This window comes from Homo sapiens, chromosome 20 (genome assembly GCF_000001405.40).
Source record: "Homo sapiens chromosome 20, GRCh38.p14 Primary Assembly".
NCBI lineage: Eukaryota > Metazoa > Chordata > Mammalia > Primates > Hominidae > Homo > Homo sapiens.
This window is the reverse complement of record NC_000020.11, coordinates 42684396-42697185: the sequence shown is the minus strand read 5'-3', so window position 1 is coordinate 42697185 and position 12790 is coordinate 42684396. Positions and strand designations below refer to the sequence as shown.

Sequence of the window (12790 nt, the reverse complement as noted above, 5' to 3'; positions counted from 1 at the left end):
ACTGATGTTAAAGGAAGTGTCAAGTTTTTCTGTTTCTTTTTTTGTTTATTTGTTTTGTTTTTTTCTCTGGTGCATCCGCTTGTACCTTTTTATTATATTAACTTCAAGCTAAGACTTTTTTAAGACACAAAAAAAGTCTGGTAATATTAAGCTACATTATTAGCTATCTATGGAGTATGTTTGATGTCTTAGTTGTCTATGACCTATGTTACAAAATAAAGTGCCTTAAGAAACATTTATTATCTCACAAGAATGCCTTAGGAGCTTTAGTGCAGCTTGATAGCTGGTTCTGGCTGGAGTCACTCAGAAGGCTGCAAGCAGGGTGTCTACTGGGGCTACAGTTGTCTCAGGGCCTGACTAGGATAGGATCTGCTCCCAAGCTCGCAGAGCTCCTGGCTGTCTTCAGAAGACTCACTTCAAAGATCATTCATGGCCGGGCGGGGTGGCTCACACCTGTAATCCCAGCACTTCGGAAGGCCAAAGCAGGTGGATCATGAGGTCAGGAGATGCAGACCATCCTGGCTAACATGGTGAAACCCAGTCTCTACAAAAAATACAAAAAATTAGCCGGGTGTGGTAGCAGGTGCCTGTAGTCCCAGCTACTTGGGAGGCTGAGGCAGGAGAATGGTGTGAACCCGGGGGGAAGAGCTTGCAGTGAGCCGAGATCATGCCACTGCACTCCAGCCTGGGCGACAGAGCGAGGCTCTGTCTCAAAAAAAAAAAAAAATAATTCATGTGGCTATTGGAAGGCTTTAGAACCTTGTTAGTTGTTGGCTTAAATATGTGTTTCTTTATGAAACCACTCATGACATGGCAGAGAGAGGAAACAGAGAAAGGAGAACGGGAGAGAGGAGGAGGGAAGGAGGGAGGGAGGGAGGAAGCGAAACAGAAAGATAAAAAGGGAGAGAAGAGGGAGGAGGAAGGGGGACAGGAGGAGAGAAATAGAGGAAAAAAGAGATCAGGGGAAAGTGAGAAGAAGGAGAAAGAGAGAGATGATTGGGAGATAGAAAAAGAGAGGGTTTAGGGGAGAGGGAAGAAAAGGGAGGGAAGAGCAGAGGAAAAGGGGAAAGGGAAGGGGAAGAGAGAAGGAGAGAGGCAAGTAAAATGGTAGACTTAGTGTAACAGAATCTCAGAAATATTATCACATCGCTTTTGCTGTACTCTGCTAGAAGCGAGTCACTAGGTCCAGCCCACTCTCTAAGTGATAGGGTTACTGAAGGCCATGAATGACAGGAGGAGGGAGTCACTGAGGGTCATTGTAGAGGCTGGAGGCTGCAGGCTGCCAATAATTGGTCTTTAAATATCACCACAGCAGTGATGGTCTTATGCAGATGTTGCCAGATTTTCTTGCATGAGAGATATCAAGTTTTAGCCCTTTGAAGATTTACAGTAGTAAAAGTCACATATTAAGTATCTAAGTCTATCTTACATTTTCCAGATTGACAGCTGCTTACTAATGAATCATTAATTGAACTTGGGGTAGTGATCCCATCTTCTTCCTTGTTAAGTTCAATGAAGAGACTCTGAAGGACAGTGCTGTGTTGGATACATGCTTCCCAGTTTGTAGGTTGTTCCAAATTGTATGGTCTTCCATCTTTTCCACAGTTTTGAGTATATTCTTTAATTTTCTTATTTTAAATTAACTATTCATCATCCTGACCGAAAACATAATTTTTAAAATATCAAACTTCTAAAAAATAAATACCACTAAAACTTTCAAAACAATCCAGACATATTTTTCAGCATATCTGTTATTCAGAAACTCTATGGTAGGAAATAGAATCAAGCGTAGTTGTGTGTTTGTGAACCAAATATTTGACTGAACACCATTTCATCAGGAATCTGAATGGATTTGTGAGCTCTGATACATTTGAGTATAATTAAAAGTAAAAAGTTAATACAGACCTGACATCAAAAGCATGATTTCTAACTGAAAAATTGATAAATTGAACCTTATTAAAGTTAAAATTTTTGCTCTGTGAAAGCTCAGGCAAGGAGGATGAAAAGATAAGCTACAGAGTGAAAGAAAATATTTGCCAACCATATATATGACAAAGGACTAATGTCTAGAATATATCAAGAATTCTTAAAACTCAATGACAAAACAATTAGAAAATTTGCAAAAGATATGATGAGATATTTCACCCTCCCGCCTCGGCCTCCCAAAGGGCTGGGATTACAGGCATGAGCCACCCCCGCCTGGCCATGCATGATCTTTGCAGTGGGTCTTCTGAAGACAGCCAGGAGCTCTGTGAGCTTGGAAGCAGATCCTATCCTAGTCAGGCCCTGAGAGGACTGTAGCCACAGTAGACATCCTGTTTGCAGCCTTCTGAGTGACCCCAGCCAGAACCAGCTATCAAGCTGCACTAGGCTGTACAGATGAGATAAACACTTGAAAAGATGTTCCATGCTATTAGCCATTAAGGTAGTATAAATTAAAACCACAGTGAAACATCACTACATACTTATCAGAATGGCTAAAAAGAAATAGTGACAATAGTAGTACAGGTGAGGAACTGGACCACTCATGCATTGATAGTAGTAATGTAAAATGATGTAGCCGCTGTGGAAAGCAGTTTGATAGTTCTGAATTCCATATGACCCAGAGATTGAACTCCAAGGAATTTACCCCAGAAAAATGAAAACTTATGTTCACACAAAAACCTATACATAACTGTTCATGGCAGTTTTATTTTAATAGCAAAAACCTGAAAATAGCCTAGATGACCCTTAACGGGAGAATGGTTAAACAACATTCAACACAACAATAGACCCATATGTATATCACATGTAAACTACACAGCAACAAAAATAAATGAACTATCCGTGCACACAAAAACTTGGACTAGGCCGGGCATAGTGGCTCATGCCTGTAATCCCAGCACTTTAGGAGGCCAAGGCAGGTGGATCACGAGGTCAGGAGATCGAGACCATCCTGGCTAACACAGTGAAACCCCGTCTCTACTAAAAATACAAAAAATTAGCCGGGCATGGTGGCGGGTGCCTGTAGTCCCAGCTACTTGAGAGGCTGAGGCAGGAGAATGGCGTGAACCTGGGAGGTGGAGGTTGCAGTGAGCTGAGATCGCGCCGCTGCACTCCAGCCTGGGCGACAGAGCGAGACTCTGGCTCAAAAAAAAAAAAAAAAGAAAATAAAATAAAAGAAAAAAAACCTGGAGTAATTTCCAGGGTATGATGGCAGGTGACAAAAACAGTCCCAAGAGATTATATATTGTCTTTTTGGAAATAACAAAATTTTAGAAGTAGAAAACAGATTGGTGGTTCCCAGGGATGAATGATGAGGTGGGGAAGTGGGGAGGGAGGTGGTTGTGGTTCTAAAGGAGTAGCGTGAGAAACCCTTGTGGTCCACTTTAATTTCCTTATGGATTATAGTTTGCCTACCCCAGGGTCAGAAACATTCTATTTTATATAAATCTTATTGTTTACCTTTTACATATAGGTCTATAGTACCCTGGAATTGACTTTGTTTATAGTATAAAGTAGGGCACAATGTTGAAGGTTATTTTTTCATATGGATGCCTAAATAATCCTAATTGTTTTGTTGAGAATACACTTCTCCTACCACAGTGAAGTGTCAGCTGTATCACAGATCAAGTGATTATCAATATGTGGATTTGTTTCTTGCCTCCATTGTTTCTTGAACTGTTTTTCAATTTCTTAATTACTGTAGCTTAATACCTCATTTTCTTAATTATTGTAGCTTAATAATAAATCTTAATTTCCTAAAAGGTAAGCTCTCTAACTTTCTTTTCCTTTTTAAATATTGCTTTGAATATTCCTGGCCTTTTGCATTTTTATATAAACTTCAGAATAAGTTTGTCAAATTGTCTAGAAAGCCTGACAGATATTTTATTAGGATAGCTTATACTTCAACATAAGGAGAATATACAACTTTACAATATTGATTCTTCTAATTCATGAGCATGGAATATCTCTCCATTTATTTGGATCTTTAAAAATGTATCCCAGTAATGTCTGGCAGTTTTCAGTGAAGAAGAATACATGTATATACACAAATGCACATATAGGTATATATACATCCCCAGATATTTTAATACTTTGCTGGTGCTTTTGTAAGTAATTATTCAATTTGTTTGTTATTGAAGTAGAACAGAATGCAGTAAAGGACATAAAGTGCGTTAACCTTATGTGGATAGCTCAATGTCTTTCATATACATGTACACCCATATTACCATCTTCCAAATCAAGGTGTAAATTATTGTGGTACCTAGTTTCATCATGTTTCTTCCCAGTCGACTACTCCTTCCCCTAGAGGTCACCATTATTATGATGTCTATTACCATTGATTGGGTAAATGGCACTTTTTAAATTTCATTTTATAATTGTTTATATTTAATCTATGGAACTTTTCTAAATTAACTTGTTAATTTTTATCATAATTTGAGATTTTTAAAGAATTTTCTACACACACAATTATGTAGTCTATGAATAATGAAAGCTTTATTACTTCATTTCCAACATTTATTTCTTTTATTTCTTTTTCTTGCCTCATTGCATTGGCTAAAACTACCAGTAGAATTGGGGAAATCAGGGAAAAGTGTGTAGTATTTTACCATTGATTATGATGTTAGAGTAATGTGTTAGATACCCTTTGTCAGATTATAGGACTTTCCTTCTATTTCTAGTTTTCTAAAAGTTTTATCATGAATGGCTGTTGATTTCCATCAAGTGCTTCCTCAGCATCTCTTGAGACAACTATGTGATTTTTATCTTTCAGTTTGTTAATATGATGAGTTATACTGATTGATTTTCTAATATTAAATCAATCTTGTAGTCCCAGCATAAACTTAATGTGGTTATAACCTGTTATTCATTTTATATATCACAGGATTGGCTTGGTAATACAATATGTAGGATTTTAGTTTACGTGTTTACGAGGGAGATTGGCCTAAAAGTTTCATGTGATATCTTTGTGAAGTCTTGGAATGAAAGCTATCCTGGGCTTGTAAAGTAAGTTTGGAAGTAATTCTTCTCTTTGGAGTCTCTGAAATAATTTGTGTAAAGGTGATATTTCATTGAAACCTTTTGTGTGTGTTAAAATTCAAACCTACCCAACACCTTCAAGCAGGATTTTGTTCCAAGATGTTCTAGCTAAAGACTTGCTTTCTATGGGCCCTTGGAAATCACTGTATATGTCATTGAGTTCCCTGGGCCTATGCTTGAGAAATACATGAATAAGATGTTAGAAATACCTAGAACAGTGCCTGCAATGTCATAAACAATATATTTACCTTTTCCTTCCTGTTTCCTCATGTTCTCTTCCTCTACAGAAGCACCTAGAGGCAGTGACCTGTGGTAGACAACAGCATGAAGCCACTAATTCTATTCTTGGAGCCCAGCGTCCATCTGGCTTAGTCAGAATCATGGCTTTTGGAGACAGGGACAGAGGTCTATGGGACCTTGCAGAATTGTGTTGTTTCGAAGTCCTTTCCCAAAGAGCAGTGAGTTAGGCTGTGCTAAGTCTCTCTTCAGGCAAGATACGGCAGGGGCAGAGGCAGCCCTAGGGGAATGAGGGAGGATTTGGAAGAAGCTCGTTTTTCAGTTCCTTTGCATAAGGGAGGGTGTCATCTCTTAAACTCTTCCCACAAACTGAGTAGGCTCTATGGATAAGCCTCTTAATCCATCTGGACACCCCTTCCTGACACTTCAGAGCAGTCGATACTTCTAGTCATTTCTAGCCATTTCAGCAGCTTACAGACTAATTATGCATCTCCCCCCTTGCACATAGGGATAGGCCAAGGAGAAGAATTTGCAAAATAACAATATCTCTAAAGCCACAGACACCTTCTGCGTAAGCCTTTCTTTCTGTGGCTGGTAGCGTAGCAACTGACGAAGCTTCCTGGACTCAGGTTGCCCTGAATTGCATGTTTCTTCCCTCACTCCCTACCACCCCCTTTCTCTCTACTTTGTCATCTTGTCATATTTGTTCTGCTATGGCAGCTACTGTGTTTTTCCTCCAGTGCTTTCTGAAAGTGAGTTGCCTGTCCTGGTGGGAGATTAGTGGCTACCACATGCATAAAGCTGACATTGATTTTATCGAACGTGATACATGTGATGCATGAGCCCAAGATGCCCTGAGAGCTCAGATGCTCAGAGGGGGCATCTCAGGAGGCTAGAGGCGCTGGGCTGAATGGCCCATTACAGGAGAAGGCTGTGGAATGGGGAGAAAGACCAGTGCAGGGGTCCAAAGCTAATAGCCATGGGAAGAAAGGAATAACTCACGTTTATGTAGGGCCTGTCATTTTTCAGGCACTTACACTTGATCTTCACAAGGACCCAGTGAGGTATGACCATGACCCTGATTTTACATGGGAAGAAACTCAGCCACAAGGGAGTTATATCACTTGCTTAATGTCACACCATTAAATAATAGAGATTGCAAGGCAACCTCTGTCTGACCCAGTGATCTTTTACTTTCCAGTACACCTCACTTCCCTTTGTAAGTGAAAGTGAATATGAAAATGCAAAGGGATGAAGTGTATTGGGCATAGTTTGGAGAAGCTAGCATAGAGTACTGGGGTACTGCACAGGGAAATTGAGGTAGACTTCCACTTATGTGGGCTGCGCAGGCATTGTGGAGGTCAAGGGGAGACTCACCCAGCATGTTGAACACTAGCTTTGTACTGGTCCATATGCCTTGCTCCTTACATTCAATCCATGACCAAGTCCTGTCCTTTCAGTCTCCCAACCCAACCCTCGGCCTAGTTCCTCTGCCTCTGCCTCTCCAGCCCCGTGGCCATTACTTGAGTTATGCCTCCATCATTTCTTTCCTCAATGTAATTGACACAACTTCCTTATTGGTCCCCCTGTCTGTTTCTCTCCCTTAGACCCATTATTCACCGTGCACTCAGAGGAGTTGTCCCTAAAACTCTTGTGCCTACGTGACACCACTGCTTACACAGCCTCAGGATGAAGACCATTCCTGATCAGGTCACTTTTGACCTCTCTGATTGCCTTTTTGCTGGCCCCCCACCCCTGCTCCCCATCACCTGTGTTTCAGCAGGATATACCATCCGTGCATGACCCAGTCTTGTCTTTGTGAATAACCCCACCCTTGTGCCTGTTAGACTCTCCTTTTCCTTTAAGACCAAGATCATGATTTGATTGCTCTAGGAAGCCTTCCCTAACATCCTCCATCTAATTTGGATATCTCTCCTTGTATTAGTTTTTGATTGCTGCTGTAACCAATCACAAAGTTAGTGGTCTAAGACAACACAAATTTATGATCTTATAGCATTGGAGGTCAGAAGTCTAAAATGGGTCAGTGGGGCTGTGTTCCTTTGACTCTAGGGAAGAGTCCATTCCCTTGCCTTTTGTAGATTCTAGACGTCACCAGCTTTCCCTGCCTAGTGGTCCCTTTCTCCACCCTCACAGCCAGAACATAGCATCTTCCAATCGCTCTCTCCGACTCTCCTGCCTCCCTTCTTCACTTATCCAGGATACTACATATCCAGGATATGCTCCCTACTCAAGATCCTTAACTTAATCACAGCTTCAGAGTCTATACAAGTTTTGGAGTCTATGTAAGTTTTGGGGATTAGGAATTGAGCATCTTTTGGGACCACTATTCTGTGTATGATACTGAAATGAGAGATTTCCCTTATCTCCCTTGCAGGATGTGAAACGGGTGTGGCTCACTCCTTCAGTTGCCCACTGTACCAGAAGAATTGGATCACATGTGGGCTCAAAGGATGAGTGCGAGGTTTTATCCGTGGAGGTGGCTCTCAGTGAGATGGATGGGGAGCCAGAAGGGGAGGATGGAGTGGGAAGGTGGTCTTCCCCTGGAGTTGGGCCGCCCAGTGGCAGATTCTTATCTGACTGCCTCCAGCTGAACCCCCCTCAGCGTCCAGACATCCTTTCTCTTCTGTCTTTCTCTGCCACATTGTTCCATTGTCACTGGTCTGCTGGTTCCAACGTTCAGCCACTTGTATGTGTGCCCACTAAGGTCTTGGGTTTATATGGGGACAGGATTGGAGGTATGGTGGGCCAAAAGGCAACTTTTTGGGTGCGAAAACAGAAATGTCTGTGCTGACTTAGCTCTGTGGGTCTTCAGGCTTGAGGGTGGGGCCCTTACTGGGGAACCACCCTCTTCTACCCAGTGCTTCCCTGTCTTCTGTCTGTATCAATACCACACAACTGTGTGAGTCCACAGGACTCTGGGCCTGCCACTTCCCAGCCTGTATCACTTTCTTCTATAGCTCATTGGTTTCTGCATCCTTCCCTAGTCTCTTAGTCTCCTCCAGGGTAGAGACAGTTATTTGCTTTGACTCCACATCCCCAAACATAGCAGAGTCAGCCCTCATTACTTGTTAGTTAGGCAGAATATGATATCTCCCAGCCTTCATGTACCTGCCTCACTGTGTCGCTGACCAGGGTGCTGAGAACAGTGGGGCATCAGCTCACTGTGTGAGTTAAAATCATGGCCTCTAGAGCAAGACAGCCTGAGTATCCCAGCACACTCACTAATTAGCCACATGACCTTGGGCAATTTGTACCTTGGTCTCCTCATGTGAAAAATAAAGATAATTATAATACCTATTGATATAAATCACAGTCCAGGAGGGAAACCCTAAATCACACCAGGTATTTCAAACAGAGGGTTTTTATTGAAGGGAATCCATTACACAGTGATGAAAGGCTGTCAGTGCAAAAGTGGGACGCTAAGGTAGCCAAAAATGGCAGGAAGTGGTGACCACACCTGGGGCTGGGGTAACAAAATGGAATAGGAGGGGTTATGGTACCTAGAAGTCTGTAGGAGGAGCACAGCAGGGCTGATTCTGAGACCTCTGAGGAGGGAGACCCCACAGATTGTACTGCAGCTGTAAGGGGCATGGCCTAGGTTATATTAGTTCCTTCAGAAAGATACTGTGCCATGGGTGCTACAAAGACCAGAAAAGATGAAGGCCTGGAGCGTAGCAGCCCCTGTTGCTGGAATGATGCTACAAGGACCTTGAAGCAGAAAGAGAGCATCTTCTTCCTTCTTCCAGCATCCCAGTCTCCATCTGAAGTCTCCCATCACTAGGACTGGACCAAAGCCAGCTGGCAAGGTAGTTTAGAGATGTTGTTAGTGGGGTCCCAGCTCCAGAATTACATAACTGATGTAACAGGGTGGGCTTGAGGCAAAAAGACCAGAGCTGAATACTAGCACACTCCTTTAGTCTCCTCATCTATAAATGCATACTAGAATAGTACTTACTTTCCGGTGTGATATGAGGAATAAATGAATTTGTATGTAAATCCCGAAATAGAGCCAGGCACGCAGTGAACATTATGAGAATGTTATTTGTCCTTGCTGCGTGACAGTAATAATAACAGCTCTCACCATCCTGTGGGTGTACAGACGTGGTTGTCTCTGGAACTCTTAAGATCCAAACTGGATAAGGCAAGAGTTTCTTTCACCCCATTCTTCATAGCAGGGCTGCTTGGCTGAGGTGGGGGAGGGGAGTGAAGGGTGCCCATTTGTGAACCCATGCTGCCCTGGAACAAGGTGCTCCTGAAGCATGGCCTTTGATTCCAAAGCTTTAGAATCCAGCTTCTCCTAGCCCCTCCTTTGGAGGTGACAGACTCTTGATTCATGCTTTCTGAGGACTCCTGATTAGCAGGCAAGGAAAGGAAGGCTCTTCTAGAATGTTTACTCTGCTCTTAATTTTGGGAAGTGGCCCAGCAAAGAGTAATCTTGAAAATGTTGAGGTTTTGGGGGATAAGGGGGAGCCGGGGCAGACAGAGTGTTGCAGATCATAAAACTTCATCTGGTGCTAAGTTGTTATTGAATTATGCATTTCTGAATGACTTCACTGGTTGCAACATGATGTTGTTAAGTAGACTGAGGCTGAGCTCTTAAATTTATTTGCTGGTAGGAGTTTTGGCAGGAGTACACACTGACATGACTGTAGACTGTCTTGATCCTGACACAGGAAGGGGAATGCGTTTGATGGGATCTTTCTGTCTCTCTGTTGGGGGGGCACAAAATAAGAATATCAGTTAAGGCTGTCACTGACAGCTGAATGGCTCATCGGTGGCTGGTTGGGAGGATGATGATATTAGTAGCAAAGACAGTTTACTTGTTACGTGTAGGAACTGTTCTAAAGTATCAACTATAATAATTTATATAATCTTTATGGCAATTACCATGAGGAAGATGTTACTATATCCCCAGTTTACAGGTGAGGCAGTTTAGACACAAAGAGGTTAAGTAACTTTCCCTCGTTTTCATAATATGTTAGACTGGATTTCCCCAAAAAACAGATCCTTTAGCATGGATTTGCGAATAGTTTATCTAAGTTGTAGGGAACACTGGTAAACAGGAGACGAAGTGAGACTGAGAAGAAAGAAAGCCCCTTAAAGAGTGCACTATGGGCTGAGCAGGGTGGCTCACGCCTGTAATCCCAGCACTTTGGGACACTGAGGCGGATGGATCACAAGGTCAGGAGATCCAGACCATCCTGGCCAACATGGTGAAACCCCGTCTCTACCAAAAATATAAAAAATTAGCCGGGCATGGTGGCGCATGCCTGTAGCACCTGTAGTTCTAGCTACTCAGGAGGCTGAGGCAGGAGAATCACTTGAACCCGGGAGGCGGAGGCTGCGGTGAGCTGAGATCGCGCCACTGCACTCCAGCCTGGGTGACAGAGTGAGACTCTGTCTCAAAAAAAAAAAAAAAAAAAAAAAAAAAAAAAAAAAAAAAAAAAAGAGTGCACTATGAGCTGGAAGTGCTAGAGGATATCTGGTGCTCAGTCCCACCCAGGACCATCTAAAAGACTGAATAAAGCCACCCCATTGTCCCACTAGGGGTCAAGGAAACCTGGATGTTTATCCACCAACTTCCATCCCTCACTGGGTAAGGGCTGCTCCTGGGAGTGGTAACACCTGGGCTTGCGGGTAGGTGGGAAGTGCAATGCCTGTAGCCACAGAGCAGGCGGTATTGACACAGCTGCTTTCTAGGTAACCTTGGTGTCCTCATCTGTAATAAGGGTGTAGTACTGTCTGCTTTGTGTTGTCACTATGGAGAGAAAAATGAGGAAACAGGTAAACTACTGTGTGGTTGCAATGATTAGAGGATTATCTGAAAGTCAAGTGTCAAAACTCACAGTGGAGGTCTTTGAGGGGGTCCCAGAGGTAGCCAGGATGTCTCCTTGTTAGTGAACTATTGGTGAGGAACTTGCTGGGAAAATGGATGTAATCGTGGTTCTTGACTCCTGCTACCTGGGCAGATAGGAGGGGAGATTGACTGCTAAACACTCCTAGTGATTGAGAGCAGAGAACTGCAAGAGAGGTCACATCCAGATGTAAAAGCTTGAAATATATAAAAACCTTACCTATTTCAAATGCTTATATTTATAATAAGCAACTGATGCAGGTTTACTAGGCATTTGTAAAAAAATCAAATAAGAAACAGAATAAAGAAAAAATAGTACCTATATTCTCATAACCCTAAGAAAAACGTCAGCGTTTTCATGTATTTAAATCTAGATGTTTTAAGCTTAGGTAGATGAGATTTGTTTGTTGAATTTAGTTCAGCAAAGTGAAGGAGAGACTTTTTCATAGGAATTTATGATGTCCCTTTTCAGGATGATGGCCGAAGCTAAAGTTAACCGTTCATAATGAAATTGCTTGTTTTTAAGCATTCCCTAAATGCTGTGTGGATGAAAGGCATGCCATTCTGCCCCTTCTTACAGATTGGGCTATGTGTTCACTTCAGTCTGGCACAAGATCATGCTCCTCTTCTAGACTCACATCTGAGAAAGGAGGGTCTTGTGGTAGCTAACCATCTCATAGGACTGATCATTCTTATATCACAATTCCCCTATGCTAGAGGTCATGATTTTGATTCATCACAAGGCGGACTAGGGTAAATCTTCAAGCAGTTTTTCTCTAAGGGAAGGCATGCACATAGCATTTTCTTCTCTGCGTTCTTCAGAAACTGAGAGCATTTTTTCTGCTGGCTTTGAAAATGCACCACAACTAACCTCCTATAAAACTCTTGGGACTGGAAACATCCCCCTTAAGACCTTTTGTGTATACCATTGTCTTTATCATAATGTACCATTGTCTTTATCATAATGGTTAGGAGTGCAGACCCCGGGCATGTTGCCTTGGCCTCAGTCCTGGATTTTGAATGACTAACTGTTTGACTTTGGATGGGTATCTACCCACCCATAAAGTTGCTGTGAAGACTAAATGAATCAATACTGTAGAACACTAAGGGCAGTCAGAGGTGTCTGAAAGTGTGCAGTACATGGGAGCTGCCCCATGGTGTTATTTGTGATTATTCTCATCATCCTCTTCCTCATCACATCCCAGTGTTTGAAACTGTAATGATAAAGTCTGGAACCAGAGTTTTTAGTCTTTTTATTTTGTTTTGATAGATATCTGTTATTTTTTCTGAAGGCTTATGGGAATTTTTCTTTAGTTTTATATTTCAAAAATATTGCCAGTATGTACTTAAGCTGAAGTCTCATCATTGATTTTGCCTGGAACCCACTGTGCTCTTCAGAGTCTGCAAACTCAGGCCTTTGGGTATTTCAGAGAAGTTTTCTTTACATATGTCTTTGATTGTTGCTTTCTGTCAGTTGTTTGATGTCTTCTCTCTAAATACTTCCAATCCTTTGCTTAGAGGTGCATTCAGTATTCTCTACAACATCGTACTTCTTGTTCTTTTTCATCTCTTTGTTGCCACCCTCAACCTTTCACTTTGGGAAAACTTATCAAATATTTTTTCTACCCATTTAAGTAAGACATCAGATATTTATTG

General features: G+C 42.1%; 1 protein-coding gene and 1 long non-coding RNA gene across 12 annotated transcripts in view; one reads left to right on the top strand and one right to left on the bottom strand.

Annotated features, from left to right (window-relative positions):
- The window catches only part of PTPRT (protein tyrosine phosphatase receptor type T), a 1158017-nt gene that overhangs the window by 492721 nt on the left and 652506 nt on the right, over window positions 1-12790 (top strand). The gene's annotated exons all lie outside the window — the stretch shown is intronic.
- On the bottom strand, window positions 8624-11703 carry LOC101927159 (uncharacterized). Its single transcript, NR_110004.1, has 4 exons — window positions 11355-11703; window positions 11127-11241; window positions 10874-11038; window positions 8624-9989 (listed from the first exon to the last, which is right to left on the bottom strand). It is a non-coding gene; the product is annotated as an uncharacterized LOC101927159 (long non-coding RNA).